General features: G+C 33.8%; 1 protein-coding gene across 2 annotated transcripts in view; it reads left to right on the top strand.

Moving 5' to 3' along the window:
• The window catches only part of CLGN (calmegin), a 39,196-nt gene extending 19,076 nt beyond the window's left edge, over positions 1-20,120 (top strand). For both annotated transcript variants that reach the window (NM_004362.3, NM_001130675.2), the window contains 11 exons: positions 2,490-2,631; positions 6,507-6,588; positions 8,024-8,216; positions 9,533-9,722; positions 12,368-12,481; positions 12,604-12,754; positions 14,532-14,747; positions 15,862-15,987; positions 16,195-16,354; positions 17,845-17,945; positions 19,269-20,120. In NM_004362.3, the coding sequence (NP_004353.1) occupies positions 2,490-2,631; positions 6,507-6,588; positions 8,024-8,216; positions 9,533-9,722; positions 12,368-12,481; positions 12,604-12,754; positions 14,532-14,747; positions 15,862-15,987; positions 16,195-16,354; positions 17,845-17,945; positions 19,269-19,349 (1,556 nt within the window). In that variant the 3' untranslated portion in view covers positions 19,350-20,120. The remainder of the gene's footprint in view (positions 1-2,489; positions 2,632-6,506; positions 6,589-8,023; positions 8,217-9,532; positions 9,723-12,367; positions 12,482-12,603; positions 12,755-14,531; positions 14,748-15,861; positions 15,988-16,194; positions 16,355-17,844; positions 17,946-19,268) is intronic.
• Positions 20,121-20,783: the final 663 nt, after the last annotated feature.

Here is a 20,783-nt window from a genome sequence, read left to right as displayed (position 1 = left end):
TTCTAAACATGTTCGTTGGCCATTTCTATATCTTCTTTTGAGAAATGTCTATTTATGTCATTTGCCTACTTTCTGATGGGATTAATTTTTTTCTTGCTGATTTGTTTGAGTCTCATGATTCTGGATACTAGTCCTTTGTCAGATTCATAGGTTATTAATATTTTCTCCCACACTGTGGGTTATCTGTTTACTCTGATGATTATTTCTTTCGCTGTGCAGAAGCTTTTTAGTTTAATTAGGTCCCATTTATTTATTTTTGTTTTTGTTGCATTTGCTTTTGGGTTCTTGGTCATGAATTCTTTGCCTAAGCCAATGTCTAGAAGAGTTTTTCTGGTGTTATCTTCTAGAATTTTCATGGTTTCAGATCTTAGGTTTAAGTCTTTAATCCATCTTGAGTTGATTTTTGTATAAGGTGACAAGTAAGGATCCAGTTTCATTCTTCTATATGTGGCTTGCCAGTTTTCTCAGTACCATTTATTAAATAGGGTGTCCTTTCCCTAATTTATATTTTTGTATGCTTGGTCAAAGATCAGTTAGTTGTAAGTATTTTGCTTTATTTCTGGTTCTTTATTCTGTTCCAGTGGTCTATGTGTCTACCTGAGACCATTACCATGCTGTTTTGATAGTATGGCCCTGTATAATTTGAAGTCAGGTAATGTGATGTCTCCAGATTTGTTCTTTTTGCTTAGGATTACTTTGGCTATTCAGGCTCTTTTTTGGTTCCATATGAACTTTTGGATTTTTTTTCCTAATTCTGTGAAAAATGTTTTTGGTATTTTCACAATAATCACACTGAATCTGTAGATGGCTTTGGGCGCTATGATCATTTTCATGATATTGATTCTTCCAATCCATGAGCATGGGATGTGTTTCCATTTGTTTGTGTCATCTATGATTTTTTTCAGCAGTGTTTTGTAGTCCTCCTTGTATAGATAGATCTTTCACCTCTGTTAAGAATATTCCTAGGGATTTTTTTTTTTTTTTTTGCAGCCATTGTAAAAGTCATTGAGTTCTTGATTTGATTTTCAGTTTGGTCGTTGTTGCTATGTAGCAGTACTACTGATTTGTGTACATTGATTTTGTAAGCTGAGACTTTTATTGAATTGATTTTTCAAGTCTAGTAGTCTATTGGATGAGTCTTTTGGGTTTTCTAGGTATGCAATCATATCATTAGCAAACAGTGATAGCTTGACTTCCTCGTTTCCAATTTGTATGTCCTTTATTTCTTTCTCTTGCCAGATTGCGCTGGCTAGGACTTCCAGATAAAGTTGTTACTTCTTAAAATAAGACCTTTATAGGGGGCGAGAGGCAAACTACAAGTTAGTGATAATACAATTCACCATCAATGTGAGAGAAAGAAAACCAAGTACATTAATCTTTTTCAAAAAAATATAATATGACCAAATCAGGGGGAGAAAGAAAAGAAACTTGGAAACTTAATAAAAACACACACATTTTTAAAAGTCTAAAAATGTATGTACAATTATAGACCAAAAATTACCCCTCTTTGATTTATAAGACTGTGTCTGGTTCTTGCATTATTTTTCTTAGAAAGAAAAAAAATGATATAAGAGCATTTGTGATTCAAAAGTGCTCATTAATGAATATTTTGAGTTGACACAATACTGGAAAATAGCCAGTTTTGTCGAATTGAATTTTCTTGGAATAGGCAATACCTATCATTTTCAAAACAGAAGATTTTACACAAACAAATATAAGTTGATTTTCTATTCTAAAACCAGTAAAGGAGTAAAGTCTAACATATAACTTTTGGGCTATAGGTAGCCCACCTAGCTTTGCATTGTATGTGGCCCATAATCTAATTTCAGGAATGTCCTGATCTTAACATGGAAAATTGTAACACAGAGAAGGCCTAACTCAGTTTTGCCTTGTTGTAGCTTAGCACTTATGCAGTGCTTTGCTGCCTTCCTGGCCAAAAGTTCTGAGAGCTGATTAGTGTACCCTGAGAAGGGTTTGTGTGAATTAAGCATGCAGTTTTCAAAATGAACTTTAAATCTTTACAATAACTGCTGCAAGTAAGAAAAGTAGCTGATGAGTATTGTGCATTTCAAAATAAATAGACTACTCATTTTGTGTTATGTGTCATATGCAGTTTCAAATATGTCATTTTGAAAATACAATATTGACATACCCTATTGAGACAAACCACATTTTATAATTTCATTGATTAAAAACTCTTTCATAGAAAAACCAAACTAATTCAGCTTTAAGAGTGACTTAATTAGACACTATAGTGTTTGCTATTAGTTTTCACAACTTTAGTTAAGAAGATGAAATCATTCTTTGATAGAAAAAAAAAGATAAATGAGCAGGCATACATATATAGTTGAAGATATTTCCTGATTTAAAATTTTTATTTTTCCCAAGTCAGGCTTCCTGGATAAAAATTATTGTTCACAACTGCTGATAAATAATTCTTAGGTCAATGTTTTCTGTTTTAGTTTAATTTGCTTTGCTTTATTTTTTAGGAAGATGGGAAATTGAAGAGTTGAAAGAAAACCAGGTACCTGGTGACAGAGGACTGGTATTAAAATCTAGAGCAAAGCATCATGCAATATCTGCTGTATTAGCAAAACCATTCATTTTTGCTGATAAACCCTTGATAGTTCAGTAAGTGTTGCTATGTTTTTGAATACTTTTTCTGAATTTTGTATTAGCTTTGGCTTCTGAATATAGCTTGTATTTTGAAAATGGATGTGAAAATCTAGATCTTCCTTTTTCGTTTCACTTAGTTAAAACACAAATGTGCATATACACACAAACATATCCATGCTTTCAATAAAAAGCAGGTAAATGATAAAATTATACAAAGATCAACCATTCTTATGGCCTAGTACTAATATTTATATTTGTTTATTTCAAGGAGTTGTATGTGGGCTATTAAGCAGCATATTTCCTTTGGTCTGAGTGCTTGTATTGACTAAATGAGGAATAAATAGTTTGGCTCTCTTAAAAAAATTTAAAAATTATGTGATATATACTGTAATATATACAATTCTGCTGTCATAAACTATATAATGCATAGTAAAAATCACCATTTTTGTTTTACTCTTAAAATTACTTGTTATCGCCGGGCGCGGTGGCTCACGCCTGTAATCCCAGCACTTTGGGAGGCCGAGGCGGGCAGATCACGAGGTCAGGAGATCGAGACCATCCTGGCTAAAACGGTGAAACCCCGTCTCTACTAAAAATACAAAAAATTAGCCGGGCGTAGTGGCGGGCGCCTGTAGTCCCAGCTACTTGGGAGGCTGAGGCAGGAGAATGGCGTGAACCCGGGAGGCGGAGCTTGCAGTGAGCCGAGATCCCGCCACTGCACTCCAGCCTGGGCGACAGAGCGAGACTCCGTCTCAAAAAAAAAAATAAAAAAAAAAATAAAAATAAAAAAAATTACTTGTTATCAAAATATTAAACAATATATTCAGAACAGAATAATAAAAATTGCTATTAAACCAGTGATAAGATTCAAAGGCAGAAAATTTATTTCAAAAATAAATGTTTATGAATACCAGTGTCTTTCAAGCAGGGACCCCTTTTAAAGGTCACATTCTCACAGATAATCCTTTCTTTCAACCTCTCCACCTCCCCACCATGCCTGGCATGGTGCCTCATGCCTCATGTGTGTAATCCCAGCACTTTGGGAGGCCTAGGTGGGCAGACAGCTTGAACCCAGGAGTTCAAGACCAACCTGGCAACATGGCAAAACCCCGACTCTACAAAAAAATTTTAAAAATTAGCCAGGCATGGTGGTGCCCGACTGTAGTCCCAGCTACTCTGGAGGCTGAGGTGGGAGGATCACCTAAGCCCAGGAAGTCGAGGCTGCAGTGAGCCAAGGTCACACCAGTGCATTGCAGCCTGGGTGACAGAATGAGATCTTGCCTCAAAAAAAAAGAAAGAAAGAAAAAAAAAGAGGACCAAGAATTGAATAGCAGTCTTTCATATGTTTAAAAACAATTCAAAGGAGAGTGAATGTTTGTCTCCTCTTAATATTGATAAAATGAAATGGGGTAAATAAAATGAAGAGATTTATATTCAATGCTATAAATGCTGATTTACAACATAACTTTACTATAAAGCTGCTTTTCCCAAATTGTATACATGTTAATATATATGAATATAATTAAAGATGAAGAATATCCTAACTCAAAACGTAGGAAGTAAAGGCCTGGCGCAGTGCTTCACACCTGTAATCCCAGCACTTTGGGAGGCCAAGGTGGGTGGATCACGAGGTCAGGAGATCAAGACCATCCTGTCTAACATGGTGAAACCCTGTCTCTACTAAAAATACAAAAAATTAGCCGGGTGTGGTGGCAGGCGCCTGTAGCCCCAGCTACTCGGGAGGCTGAGGCAGGAGAATGGCGTGAACCCGGGAGGCAGGGCTTGCAGTGAGCCGAGATCATGCCACTGCACTCCAGCCTGGGCAACTGGGCAACAGAGTGAGACTGTCTCAAAAAAAAAATAAATAAATAAATAAAAATAAAATTAAAAAAGGAAGTATGTTAGCTCATTAAAGACTGAGAAGTTCTACATATGAAAACCTGTTTTCAGCATTACTACTGTGTTTCCCAAACACATTTGATCACATAAGTTTATTTTCCCACCTAACAGTAATTGCTATTTCATGGAACAATTTGAGAAATGATACTCTAAAGAAATTAAGGTTACCATATACTCTGCATATGTCCTTGGTTTTCCTATGACTGGAAGTTTAGCAGTAGTCAAGCTGTATGATAAACATTTTGTTGATCCTCTAATCCATTGTGAATCATTTATACTAGGTAAAAGTTAATTATTTGAAAACTCTAAAAGTTTGCAGTATAAGAAATGGACAAGGTGATTGAATCTAGGCATAATGGAACAATGAAACTGTGTTCACATTTATGCAGCCACTGTACAAAATTGTTTTTTCCAATTCTTACCTTTTTACAGAATGCTCTGTCCTGAGATAATCTATTATAAAGCAAAATCTTTTTAATTTTTTTTCTAAAAACAGTGACCTTTAAGTCATATCATGCACCACGTGTTCTACTTATAGTCTTCAAATACTTAAATTCCATGAAAAACAAAATTTTGTCAGCTATTGCTTAAAATAAAGATAAGACTTTGAGGAAAACAAACTGTCCTCTATTTAAAAAATGAAAAAGAACGAAAGAATACCTTCCTTCTGATTATCATAGAAGCATTTTGAGCATGTATTTGCCCCTCATTGGGCATGATATCCTTTAATCATCATAACAATCCTTTGAGGTGTAAGTATGGGCCATGTCTGCATATTATAGATGAGCAAATAGAGACTTAGAGCTTAAATGACTTGCCGTTACCCAAGGAGTCACTAGAGTAAGTGGCAGAATCAAGAATAACTCTCAGGTCATTTTGACTTTAAAGTACATGCTTGTGGCCACTGTTGTAGATAGCTTAAGAAATAAAGCATGGTAAAAAGTATAGGAGAAAATCACCCCTTTCAAATCAGAGATACTTAAAATTTTGTTTCCTTTTTTTTAATACAAAATATGTACACCAATTGAGTTCAAACTGTTAAAATTTTGTATACTATCATGTTTTACCTTCTTGTCACTAAATTTCTTCAGAAACATTTACAACTATAGTCCTTTATTAAAATGATCATTATTTCTGGTTATTTCTCTAGTTTTCATGTCTTTTTGATTTAATTCATTTAATGAAATCATAACCTTTTTTGTTTTTACTGTTTGACAGCCATTTCCTTGTTGATTTTTGTCACATATAATTCGTTAATTTAACAACAAAAAATCTCGTAAGTCTATGCCTCATTGCCATAGCAAGGCTATTTCCTTTTAAAGTTACCAATAAAGAAAAAAAAACTTTGCTGAGAATTACACTGTGTTGTAAATTCATAAGAGACTCTCATGTTCATTCTTTTAGCTGTTATACTAAACAGTGAAAATTTCCCATATCTCCTGGCTGTTTAGGTCTGAAATCCAGCTTATTGACTGAGATTATGAATCTCTTTGCTGGAGCTATTTAATTAAATGTACAACTTATTTAACATGGTAAGGTGTAATGAACTCTAGGTATCTAAGATCATTAGCAATTTCGTAGAAATCTTGCTGTAGCTGTGGTTCTTACGGCCTTTATTTTTTTTTAGTTTATAAAGTGTAAGTATAGTGCTTACCTTATCAGAATTTGAAATTTCCTGTTGTAGTTTTAGTTACAGTATCTTATGCTTAATTTATCAGTTTTGATGGAAAAAAATTTAAACAAATTGATTGGTTTGTCTGCAGTTGATTGTAATCATTCTATTTTTAATATTTTAATGATGTGTCTTGTTTTAGAGTAGTAGAAAAGCGTTTCTGCTTATTTCCTATAGGTTGTAGATATGCTTTATATGAGTTTTCTGATAATGTAAAAAAATTTATACTTACATGAATTGAGAATAATAAGATTATATTTTAAAGAGCAACTAGTAAATTTTATTTATCAGTAGTACGGTTCTTTTTCCCTTTATTCAGATATGAAGTAAATTTTCAAGATGGTATTGATTGTGGAGGTGCATACATTAAACTCCTAGCAGACACTGATGATTTGATTCTGGTATGATATTTTAATATTTAAGAAAACCTTATTAAAGTTAATAAGTATTTTTAAGGAACAAATGATAAAACTGAATATTTTGTCTTCAACTGAAATTGAAAAGAATTGTAGATATCTTTTTTCAATGTGAATTTACATAGCTCTTACAATTCGCCTTCAAGTTTTATATAAAGCTGTGTTACTTGAAGGCATCAATTTTATAATCTTTAACAACATGAAAAAGTTTACCATGTCTGTAGGACAAAAACTACGTGATACTTATAAATTTCTTTTGAAATATAGCTTAGAGTTATTTTCTTTACAGAATAAGACTCTTAAGTTTGTTTAGAGAAGCATAACAAAGCATAGCAGTGAAACAAAATGGCCGAAGAACCAAATTAAAAGGGGTTAGCAACCCACAGAAAGTAACTAATTTTAAAAACTTTTCATGATGAAATAGGTTTATACTTCTAAGAGGTTGTATTAGGACCATTGGAAAGTTGGGGATATTTCTTATAGCCTTCTCCTGTAAAAGGCTGTTTCAGACTTTCTGCATATAACAGAAATACGATAGATGAGACATCAGGGGTATATTTTTCAGAACACTTAGCTGTACATAAGCTATGAAATGTAGATGGGAGACTTTTTCATGTACTACTCATTATTATTAGGATCAAGTGAAGGAGAGGCCATTGGAGTATATGTTGAAGCTCTTGTTTTAGATGAACACTTGAAGGTAGGATGACAAAAAAATCTAATGCCAAGTATTTCTATAAGCACTTTATCTGATTAATTCACTTAATCCTTAGAGAACTCTTATAAGGTAGGTACTATTATCATCTCCATACTTCAGAGGTGATGAAATGGAGGTGCAGAGAGCTTTAAAAAATTTGAGTCAGGGTGACACCCAACTAGTTTAAGAGGCAGTGGTAGGATTTGAACCCCAGTATCTGACTCCATGCCCCATGCTGTTAACCACTATGCCATGCCAAATAAAGAGAAATTCATGTCCTCGTGTCTGTTTTTATGTCTGAATGAATCTCTCTTCATCTTGTGCTCAGAGGGTCATTTTCTGGTATCTTCCTAAGTAATAGTAATGGGTGATAATTTTAGTCTTAAGGCCATAAATATGCTTTCCTCTAATGCCTAATTCTCTCAATAAAAATATTAGTAATATAGATTTACATAGAGAGTTAAAGCATATTATGGTGTTGCTAGAGTATTTTCAGCTTCTGTCCCACATCGTCAGGAAGTAGTGTGTACTTAAAAAAATCTATATTGAAGTAAAATTTGTCATTTTCCCATGTCCTTTATTGTCACTTGTATTAAATAGCTAGCTCTCTGGTGAATTACCATTTAATATATTTTTGTAAACTCTACCCATTGGATAAAATACAGAAATGCATTAAATAGTCTGTGATTCTGGACTAATGCCAACACTCATCTCTCTTTGAAGGAAAACTTTTATGATAAAACATCCTATATCATTATGTTTGGACCAGATAAATGTGGAGAAGATTATAAACTTCATTTTATCTTCAGACATAAACATCCCAAAACTGGAGTTTTCGAAGAGAAACATGCCAAACCTCCAGATGTAGACCTTAAAAAGTTCTTTACAGACAGGAAGACTCATCTTTATACCCTTGGTATACCCTTTTAATTCATTCATGTATTCAAAAATATTTGCTGACTATTGATGTATTCATGGCAAGTGCTTTACAAGAAAACAAATGTGTACCCCATCCTGAAGGAGCTTATCTTTTTCAGAAAATAGGACATGTATAATGACAGCACGGGTAGAAAATAAAGTACCATATAAGAAAGAGAGATGAGGCACAGCTAAGAGTTCACAAGCAATATTACTTCCAGCTTAGAGACTTGGAACAAAGCTAGGAAAGATTATATTTGAACTCGTCTTGAAGTACAGATAGAATGTTGAAGACAGTAGGGTGAAAGGACATTTTAGACGTTGTGACAGTGGTGCTGTAAGAACAGAAAACTAGAAAATAAAAAGGAAGAGGCCAGAACAGAAAACTAAAAAATAAAAAGGAAGAGGCCCTTAATGCCAGACTAAAAAGTTTAGACTTTATTCTGTAGGCAGTTGTGATTATTGTTATGTCCTACCTTGTGTTGGTTGTGGCATGTACTTCGAAAGGAGAAGCATTGAGCAGCCATATATTAATATACTTAAGTAAATAGGAATTTGCATAGATATGGGGGTGAGGGACATCATAAGCAGTTGTTTCTCCCATTCTCAAGTATAATGGCTGTAGAGCTCTGGTCAGCCCACTATCAAAATCAGAGCATATTGGAACCTAATAGGACATTTTGAAATGGCCCTATTGGCTTCCTTTCTCACGTCTCAACTCCACCCAAGATTAAAGTATTTCAATCTTTTTCCCCAAATGCTGCAGTGGTAGAAACATTCATTTTGTCTGCTCGGGCAATGCCCATTTCATCTTCAATATCAGATGTGATATAATAAATATCTTTATGAAATAATTGAAAAAACTAGGCATTTGGGGGAACACCAAGTAAACTGTAGAAATAATGAGAAAATATTACTAGAACAGAATAAATTAATTTTTTGTTATACTTACAACACTTTAAGATGGTATCAAAAAAATTAAATGCTGAAAAAGATTAGCTTGTATTTTGTAACTATAAAAGAGTGAAGCTGACTCGTTATGAGTCCCAAAACAGAGCTATTTGGTATTATTTTTTATTTGAGAAGTAATGGAGCATTTTATTGTAAAAAATGCAGTTTAAAACAAAATTTTATCTTTAGGAAATGTATCTAGTGATTTTAGAATGTTTTAGTTCAATACATTGGTTATTCCTCTATTTCTGGTTGGGAAAAAAGCTTTACCCATGGAGTTAAGGGTAGTTACATTATTTAGAAGATTATCTTTAAAGCGTATATCAAAATGATAACTATAATTTATTTAAATTGGTCCCTTAGTGATGAATCCAGATGACACATTTGAGGTGTTAGTTGATCAAACAGTTGTAAACAAAGGAAGCCTCCTAGAGGATGTGGTTCCTCCTATCAAACCTCCCAAAGAAATTGAAGATCCCAATGATAAAAAACCTGAGGAATGGGATGAAAGAGCAAAAATTCCTGATCCTTCTGCCGTCAAACCAGAAGACTGGTAAGCAAATAATTCGGTAGCAAAGCATTATCTGGCATAACTAGGTAATGAAACAACATATAAGTGAAGTTTACAACCCATGAAGTTTATTTTTTTAAACATCAGAACTACTTATTTTTAGTATTTTGGGTGAAATATTTTCTAAAATGGATTTTACACTTCCCTCCCTGTAATTTTTTTTTATTTCTATTGATAATTATGTTGCATTTTTTAATATATATTTATTTTTTATGTTTTCAATGCTGTGGATTAAAAATTTCATAAATCCAAAATACCAGTGCTTTAATTTTCATTCCTAGTTTGATCTTTATTGTATGTGTGTGAGAGTCCGAGGTGGGCAGATCACCTGAGGTCAGGAGTTCGAAACCAGCTTGGCCAACATGGCGAAACCCCGTCTCTACTAAAAACACAAAAATTAGCGGGCATGGCGGCGGGTGCCTGTAATCCCAGCTACTCGGGAGGCTGAGGCAGGAGAATTGCTTGAACCCAGGAGGCAGAGGCTGCAGTGAGCCCAAGGTCGTGCCACTGCACTCCAGCCTGGTGACAGAGCAAGATTCTGTCTCAAAAAAAAAAAAAAAAAAAAAAAAGAGTATGTTTGCCCTTAAATGAGAGAAACCACATATAACTGCTTCATTCTGATTGTTGAAATGTGTTAGAATTTGTTTTACAAAGTACTAAAAGAAATGCTCCATTAAATTTTAACTTTTGGTTACTCTGAGCACTCAGAAACTCAAGATGACATTGGTATCAGGCAAGCACAAATCTATACATTTGTAAAGTTGATTATTTCTGTTTATTTTGTAACTCATTTGGAAAATCATGAAGTGTCCTCTTGTTTAAAATTTCTATCTTTCTGTAATGATGAAAATTGTATTAGTAGTTCAGTACTTTATGTTTATATACTTCAGAATTTACTAAGTGTTTTGTTTTTGTTTTTGTTTTTGTTTGAGATGGAATCTCGCTCTGTCACCCAGGTTAGAATGCAATGGCGTGATCTCAGTTCACTGCAGCCTCTGCCTCCTGGGTTCAAGGGATTCTCCTGCCTCAGCCTCATGAGTAGGTGGGATTACAGGCAAGCGCCACCACGCCCGGCTAATTTTTGTATTTTTAGTAGAGATGGGATTTCACCATGTTGGTCAGGCTGGTCTCGAACTCCCGATCTCGTGATCCTCCCGCCTCAGCCTCCCAAAGTGCTGAGACTACAGGCTTGAGCCACCACGCCAGCCTAAGTGTTCTTTTTAAAATAAGAATGCTAGAATTAAATAAGGAGAGTTTTAAAAATTATATTGGAATAGGGAAGAACTTTCCAAATATGACATAAAATCCAAGAATCCTTTAAAAATAAGTTCAACTACATGAAAATAAATGATTTGTATATTGCAAAAAAAAAAACCTCCCTAAACTATTTCAAAAAACACACAAGAACCAGGAAAAATTATTTTCAATCATATAGCTGACAGAGAGCTAATTTCTTAGTATAAAGGTAATGAGCTAAGAAAAAATAGTTTTTGTGTATCACTTATGCTACTAAATGTACATTCAAAGTTCAGTGAGATACCATTTTTCACCTACCACATGGGCAGAAATCAAGAAGTTTGGTAACACTCTTCGCAAGGACAGGAGAAAATAGGTACTTTTGCATGCTGCTGGTAGAACCGGAAGTGGAGTGTAACCATTATAGAGAGTAATTTGGATGCTACTATCAAAATTTAAAATGTCCATACTCTTAACAATTATATTTTCACAGATGAGAAATGGCATATATTCTAGGACATTCACTATGGCATTGTTTGTATTAATAATAGTAAAATTTTGGAAACACTAAATGTCCTCCAAGAGGAGATAAGCTAAATAAATTATGGTGTATCCTCAAGTAGAAAACTATGCAACTGTTAAGAATGAAGCTATGTGTATATATATATATGTGTATATATATATATATACATATATATATATATACATATATATATATATATGTATATATATATGCTCCAGCCAGGCATGGTGGCTCATGCCTGTAATCCCAGCACTTTGGGGGGCTGAGGTGGGTGGATCACCTGACGTTAGGAGTTCAAGACCAACCTGGCCAACATAGTGAAACCCCATCTCTACTAAAAATACAAAAACTTAGCCAGGCGTGGTGGCAGGTGCCTGTAATCCCAGCTACTCTGGAGGCTGAGGCAGGAGAATTGCTTGAACCCGGAAGGCAGAGGTTGCAGTGAGCTGAGGTCGCACTATTGCACTCCAGCCTGGGAAACAAGAACAAGACTCCACCTCAAGAAAAAAATAATAATAATGGAGCTCCTCGAACAGTCTTGACACATAGTAAGCATGCAATATATATTTGTTGATGAATGACTGAGTTTTTAAGTAACAAAAGCAAGGTCTAATACATTATGTATAGAATGCTATCATTCGTATTAAAAAAAAGAATGTATACGTGTGTGCATGTATGCATAGAGCACAACAGGGAATATGTACCAAAAATTGGCAAGTTAGCAAAAGATTTAGGTGGGTAGTAGATGAGGACAAATAACAGGCACAAACAAAAGGGAGGGAAATAATTTTATGGTACCTTCTTAGTGTTGTAACATGCATTTTTAAACTTTCTGAATAATTAGTAATATAAAACGTTGTATTTACAGGGATGAAAGTGAACCTGCCCAAATAGAAGATTCAAGTGTTGTTAAACCTGCTGGCTGGCTTGATGATGAACCAAAATTTATCCCTGATCCTAATGCTGAAAAACCTGATGACTGGTAAGCACTCTTCATCTTCAAATGTCGATTTCAAATGTTTCTTACATGCATTTTTGTTACTAGTTTATATGACTGATCTGAGACTTGAGGTTACTGTATTTGCTTTGTTTTAATATCCTAAGGAATGAAGACACGGATGGAGAATGGGAGGCACCTCAGATTCTTAATCCAGCATGTCGGATTGGGTGTGGTGAGTGGAAACCTCCCATGATAGATAACCCAAAATACAAAGGAGTATGGAGACCTCCACTGGTCGATAATCCTAACTATCAGGTAACAACCGCTTGTTCCAATTATTTAGTGAAGTTAAAAATGTTGTGATCTTTTCTATTTAAATATCTAATTACCTATGTCAACTTTTGGAAGTTTCATTTTTAATTTTAAGATGTCAAAGAAAATAGACCTCAACTAATTTATATTTTAAAAGTAGAGCATCAATTATTTAATTTTCTGGGGAAATAAATCACTTCATACTATATTCTTCCCTAATTATCAGTTGATGCTCACTTTGAAATAAAGTTCTATTTTAGAAGTAAATATAAGAAGTGAATTTTGATCAAATAGACTCATATTGTACATTTTAGTAATTAATGCCTGTGCTTAATTAATGTACTTATTATTTAGTATTATTAAAATTCTGATTTTTGGCCAGGTACGGTGGCTCATGCCTGTAATCCCAGCACTTTGGGAGTCCAAGGCGGGCGGATCACGAGGTCAGGAGATGGAGACCACCCTGGTCAACATGGTGAAACCCTGTCTCCACTAAAAATACAAAAAATTAGCCAGATGTGGTGGCGCACGCCTGTAGTCCCAGCTACTCAGGAGGCTGAGGCAGGGGAATCTCTTGGACCCTGGAGGTGGAGATCGCAGTGAGCTGAGATCGTGCCACTGCACTCCCGCCTGGCGACACAGCAAGACTCAAAACAAAAAAACAAAAAAACAAAAAACCTGGCCTGGCGTGATCTTGGCTCACTGCAGCCTCTGCCTCCTGGGCTCAGGCGATTCTCCTGATTCACCCTCCTACGTAGCTGAGATTACAGGCACACCCCAGCACGCCCGGCTAACTTTTGTATTTTTAGCGGAGACGGGGTTTCACATGTTGGTCAGGCTGGTCTCGAACTCCTGACCGTGATCCGCCCACCTTGGCCTCCCAAAGTGCTCAGGTTACAGAAGTAAGCCACCGAACCCAGCCCTGATTTTTTTCTGATATCAATCGACATCTTTTGAGTGTACCTAGCTTTTTATATTAAAAGTTTCTATGTTATCCACTTAACCCTCTAGTTTTATCTTTGTAATTATTTATGGATACGTTCTAACATTATATATATGCAGTTTCATATTCTAATTACTCACTGTAGTTTTTATTAAAAGCATTTAACACAAAATGTTTCTTTTGGTAAATTTTTTTGTTTGATGTCTGTCTCTTTTATTTGACTTTAAACTCCATAATACAGGAACCATGTATGTCTCCATCATCTGGCATAGTGCCTGGCCCAGAATACATACATGTGATGGTGGAGTGAGTCAGTGAGCAATGATATTGTTGAATGTATTTGATTTAATGGACAGTTTAATCATTTAAGATCTAATGGAAGTTTTAGGTTGAGTAGTTGTGCCGAGATTCAACCATACCTGATTAATGATATCTGTCATGGGTATATGTTAAATGGAGTAACTCCATTTTTGCTATACAATGATCTTTCTGATTTGGACAACTTGAATAACATTTTGCAATGAATAACTTTACTAAATCTAAAAATTTGTCCAAAGTAGACAAATTGTGAAATTTATTCACGTTTCTGTTTATGTTGGATTTTCCCTTTTCCTTTTCTTGCAGAATTTAAAGTTAGTATCACTCGTAGGGAACATTGTGTACACAGCAAAAGAAACAAGATTTTATATCCAGTATATTACTAATGAATTAATATCAGTTAAAATTCTCTTTTTTCCAGTTAGCATTGCGAATTTCATTCAACAGCAGCTACTTATTAAGCAGCATTTATAATGAAGTTATTTTATTTGAAAATGTCTTCAATTACTTTTCTTCCAGGGAATCTGGAGTCCTCGAAAAATTCCTAATCCAGATTATTTCGAAGATGATCATCCATTTCTTCTGACTTCTTTCAGTGCTCTTGGTTTAGAGCTTTGGTCTATGACCTCTGATATCTACTTTGATAATTTTATTATCTGTTCGGAAAAGGAAGTAGCAGATCACTGGGCTGCAGATGGTTGGAGATGGAAAATAATGATAGCAAATGCTAATAAGGTATGGTGTTGACCAATAGCAGTAGTGATATAACTATGAATAATAATACTTGGTCTTGGTTGTAGGTTATTCAGATGGCTCTTTTAAATGCAAATAAATGTGCAGTAACTACTAAATGCCAAGGAAATGTGTTTGAATAAGTTTATGTAGACAGAATATTTTGCTTTTTATGTTACTTCATTATGAGCTATATATGCATATGTAAGTCCTCATTTTATTCATTAAATTATAACATCACTAATGGGATTTAATGCTTATTTACTGTTCATAGAAGAAGACTACTTAATATCTTTGTCATCTTGCCAGTTCAAGACCTAAGTGACAATGATAATCTAAATATTACTGTTTATTTAACTATTTTTTACTTAGAGGAATGTACAAAGAATTTATAGTTTAACATTATTAAATTCTGTTCCAGTTTTTTCCCGAAACCTTAACACTGTTTAGAAAAGGTTGGGCTAAATATTTCAACACAATGCATCTTAGAAAATGTATCATTAAATTCAGTTGCTATAAAGAAAAATTCTTACCTTACATTTGGTTCCTTGGGTCACTAGCGAAAAACCATCAAAAGAGTAGGTGAAGAGGGATTCTTGTTTTGAACCTCTTGTAACTAAAACATTTGATTTTTTAAATTTTATTTTAATAAGAGAAATAATATCCTTACTGAGGGTCTTATGTGTGAAATGTGTTTATATAAAAAAGAAAACAATTCTGAGGTATGATTTTTAGTAAGTTCTTTAAAAGTACAGAATGAATGATCAGAGTACAGAATGAATGATCACTTCAAATAAACCAGGTAATACATCCATAAAAGGTAGTTCTATTCTGAAATTTACCAAAAAGGAAAATTACCATTTTTCTTGCCAGTATGTTAGAAGTTTCCACTTTTGTCATAACATACCTTCTGCTATCAAGTCTCACTCAGTGATGCATGCTAATAATTAAATTAGACTTTACAAAGTATAAGGTGGGAAAATGAAACTTCTTTTACTTACGAGTTCATCACTCCTTAATGTAAAATGCCTGAGTAAATAAGTTTTTTTGTATCTTGTGTTACCCAGTAAAGGTTTGTAAAATTTGAATTGCATTTTTATGCTTATCTCGTCTATAGCCTGGTGTATTAAAACAGTTAATGGCAGCTGCTGAAGGGCACCCATGGCTTTGGTTGATTTATCTTGTGACAGCAGGAGTGCCAATAGCATTAATTACTTCATTTTGTTGGCCAAGAAAAGTAAAGGTAAAGAAAATGGATTTCCTTCAACTTTTTTCACCCAAATTTCTTGTTGTTTAAGAGTTCTATAAATTAAGCGATTCTTAAAAGTAATAAACTAAATGTCTCATAAGTTTTACTGATAGTTCATTATGTATGTTATCAATTATTGCAAAAAAACTTTCAAAATAGCACTCTGCCTTTAGTAAAAATAACTTATGTTAACTACCACAGAAAAAACATAAAGATACAGAGTATAAAAAAACCGACATATGTATACCACAAACAAAAGGAGTACTAGAGCAAGAAGAAAAGGAAGAGAAAGCAGCCCTGGAAAAACCAATGGACCTGGAAGAGGAAAAAAAGCAAAATGATGGTGAAATGCTTGAAAAAGGTAAGATGATGAGAGTGATTTATAATGGAGACTCTGGGTAAAGCTCATAAAACTGTATATGGCCTTGAAATAACTAGTTATTATACTTGTTTATTATCAAGTTTATACATCTGAATCTCCCAAGAATATGTGACTGTGGCAAGAAGGAATAATAGTCCTCTGAGCAGCCACCCTGTTTATAGTTTTTGCATTCTAGGAAGAAGGAGATTTAAATAGTGTTCAGTTGCTTGAGAGCCTAGCAGTTAATGAATCCCATAGGCCATAGCTTTTTGCAAGGATGTTTCTTGGCTCTGGGAGTGTAGAAGATGAGATGGAGGGTGATAGAGGGTGTATATCATGGCCTCTGTAGAAAAGGAATAGATATAAAACAGATGATTGCAGCAACAAAATCAACACCAAGTCTTCCAACAGCTATTGTTAGTCAGATGCTTATCATATAGAAGAAATAATTTAATTAATTTTCTGAAAGGATTGCTGAACCTATATCCCCTTCTCACCCTATGTTAAACTCTTGAAGATGTTAGAACTGAAGTCACCCTTTGGTGGCTGTCCGCTGAGACCTCCTTACATAAGGTAGAAATAAAACTATTGATTTGCCCAGTGTCCCAAGCCAAATGTCTTGAAGCACAGTGTTTAACTCACTTAATGAAACAGTTGACTTAAAAACACATATGTGTCTATCTATTTTTTAAGAGACAGTATATATATATATACACACATATACATACACATGTTCATGTGTGTATTAGGATAGGTATCTAAAACAACAAATGTTTCAGGTTGTAAGTTTCCAGCCTTGTTTTTGTAACTTCTTAGTGCTTAGTATATTGATGTCTGGATCAGCCTTATTTAGAGGGAATTTAAGTATCGGAGGGGCCTGCTTGTATAAAGGTACTTTCACCACTTTCATCTATACACGTAGTCCCACATTGGAACTACGTAGAAGAAGTAGAGTTGATTTTTCAACTTCCCTTTCCCCAAAGCCCATTCTTGGTAGGGTAGGAGTTTTTACTTTATATAGCTCCTAGGACGTGCTTAATATCTTTTGGTTAATAATGATGACAAAAGTTGGAGGTTCTGCTAAATGGAATCCTAAGGAGGGTCAATAACTGAAAAAATGCATGATGTCCACAGAGAACAAACATAAGTAAATAACATATTGAAGATTAAAAGATCACCAAAAATTAAAGGAAGTATTTTCCAAGACAGGAACACAGGAAAGATTATTATTTTTTGGTTTTCATATTACATACAGACTGAATGCTTAAGAATTTTTTAAACTTGTCCCCAAACTCAAATATGATTCATTTATAAAATATGATAATATAATGAGTATTTATAATTTTTAAAATTTTGAATGGAAGAAGTTGCTTCTAAATCTTGGAATAAATCTTGGAATTTAAATAAATCCCATTTATTGTATTTAATACTTTTCAGTAGCAAAATTCTAATTTATTGAGTCTTTGCTTTTAACAAAATCTGTATTCTAGAAGAGGAAAGTGAACCTGAGGAAAAGAGTGAAGAAGAAATTGAAATCATAGAAGGGCAAGAAGAAAGTAATCAATCAAATAAGTCTGGGTCAGAGGATGAGGTAACAGAAAATAAGCTGGTTTCTATGTATAGTTGTTATCCATAAAAAGTTTTTTCAATAAAAGCACCAATATGATTTATGAAAGAATTTTTGCCATATTTCTCTCAGCTTTTATAAGAGCCTCTATATTGTTTTTAAAACATATCCATAAGGAAGGAAAGAAAAATACTGTAATTTATATTGTCTCAATGCCTAGTAAAACAGTATAGAGCAAGCCTGTGGCGTACAAAATATAAAGATAGAATACATGTATCCAAAATTATGACTTTCTCATTGAAATTCTATTGAAAAGCATAATAAACACATTGTTTGAATATTTAAAAGATAATTATCATTATTATAATTTTTATAGCTGTTGTAAAACATCTTTATTGTCTCAACATTTTACTCTCACGTTTTAAAATATTTCATTCATTGGGTAGTTGAGTACTATCTGCCTGATAGGGTATTTTTCTCAAATCTTTAGTGAACTTTTCTCCCCCCTTATTAGTCTACCCCTTTTTGTGTCCTGATATAAAATGGAACTTTGCACAATGCTTTTTTTTTGTAAGTTATTATGGAATGAGAAATCCCGAGTATAATTAGAGCCAGAGCTGTCTTTTTTCTTTTTTGTTTTTAATCCAGCATAAACCAAAAACCAGTTTTCTCTGGCCCTTAAAGAGCTGGGTAGCCTTACCCCACAGAGTCACCATCCTAACATATTACATTCCAACTATGTAGGTAGGATAAAAGTACAGTTCTGCCTGCTCTTGCATGTGATGAAATGAATTTTGTATTTTATCTATTTAAAGAAATCCTCCAAATAAATTTGCAATTATTGTTAAGTCTTTCCTAATGTTTAATCAGTACACATACTGTTTGCTGGTCTTCCTGCCCTCTGAGTTTTTATAGGGACTTTGGGACCATTATTTAGTATGAATATCCATATTTAGGGAGAGCTAGGTGAAGAGAATTTCTTCCAGAGCCAAGTTTTAAATAATCATTGTTTCTGCTGTGACTTTCTTAAAATAATACCTGCAGTCATTTACTTGAATATGTATTCTATTTACATTTACTTTACAAAATATTTTGTGTACCTTCGAAAACATCTTAATTCCATCTTTCAGTCTTTCCGTCTTCTTATGTGTATGTGTCAGTGAGCTGGAATACATCGATTTTTGTATAGCCTTGAGAAATAACTATAACTTTATTTCATATAATACCTTCATAATAGCACTTGATTGATAGCACATATATTTTAGAGAATAATAAATATATTGTTTACTACTATCTACTAGTTATGTGTTATACTAAAAGAAACCTTTTCATAATTATTTTTTCTAGATGAAAGAAGCAGATGAGAGCACAGGATCTGGAGATGGGCCGATAAAGTCAGTACGCAAAAGAAGAGTACGAAAGGACTAAACTAGATTGAAATATTTTTAATTCCCGAGAGGGATGTTTGGCATTGTAAAAATCAGCATGCCAGACCTGAACTTTAATCAGTCTGCACATCCTGTTTCTAATATCTAGCAACATTATATTCTTTCAGACATTTATTTTAGTCCTTCATTTCAGAGGAAAAAGAAGCAACTTTGAAGTTACCTCATCTTTGAATTTAGAATAAAAGTGGCACATTACATATCGGATCTAAGAGATTAATACCATTAGAAGTTACACAGTTTTAGTTGTTTGGAGATAGTTTTGGTTTGTACAGAACAAAATAATATGTAGCAGCTTCATTGCTATTGGAAAAATCAGTTATTGGAATTTCCACTTAAATGGCTATACAACAATATAACTGGTAGTTCTATAATAAAAATGAGCATATGTTCTGTTGTGAAGAGCTAAATGCAATAAAGTTTCTGTATGGTTGTTTGATTCTATCAACAATTGAAAGTGTTGTATATGACCCACATTTACCTAGTTTGTGTCAAATTATAGTTACAGTGAGTTGTTTGCTTAAATTATAGATTCCTTTAAGGACATGCCTTGTTCATAAAATCACTGGATTATATTGCAGCATATTTTACATTTGAATACAAGGATAATGGGTTTTATCAAAACAAAATGATGTACAGATTTTTTTTCAAGTTTTTATAGTTGCTTTATGCCAGAGTGGTTTACCCCATTCACAAAATTTCTTATGCATACATTGCTATTGAAAATAAAATTTAAATATTTTTTCATCCTGAATACCCTATTTGACAGGTTATTATTGGGGAGGCTTTATATTATTTTCCTTATTACTAAGGGATTCTAATGGCTGATTTCAATTCTTCATGCTTTTATATATATATTTTTTTCTTGTTTCCAGTGGGGTTGGAATGCTTTTGTATATTTATCTTTTTTTTTTTCCTGAACAAGTTTCAATCTATTTTAAGTCTGTCATCTCATCTATGAATAGCTTCAAAGCTGCCACTGAGGTGGATAGGAGCAACTATTATTATTGCTCTTCTTTTTAAAGCAGTTACCACGTCACTAGACTACATTAAAATGGAGCTGTGTTGTTCCACTTAAAATATTTTATTTATGAAATTCTTGTGTCTGGGTAACAGGTTTAGACTCTTTGGAAGAGGATCTAAATCTTTGAGACCACAGAACTACTTGAATACTAACTACCTAGAAAACTTTCCGCTTGTTAGGTAAGATTTTGGATTCCTTCATAGACGTACACATACCCCATCTTTGGGCAAGCCCTAAACTATTACAGGTTCCCATACAACTCCTTCCCCAGTAGGTAAATTTAGAACTTATGAATAAGGAAAATAAGTCTCTAGCTTCTGCTTTTACTGAAGGAAGCCAAACATAGCCGCTAATACTATTCACTCCTTATTTCAAAGAGTGAATTGAAAAAGA

Source organism: Homo sapiens, chromosome 4, assembly GCF_000001405.40.
Source record: "Homo sapiens chromosome 4, GRCh38.p14 Primary Assembly".
In the NCBI taxonomy this organism is placed as follows: domain Eukaryota; kingdom Metazoa; phylum Chordata; class Mammalia; order Primates; family Hominidae; genus Homo; species Homo sapiens.
This window is presented reverse-complemented; position numbering and strand designations above follow the sequence as displayed.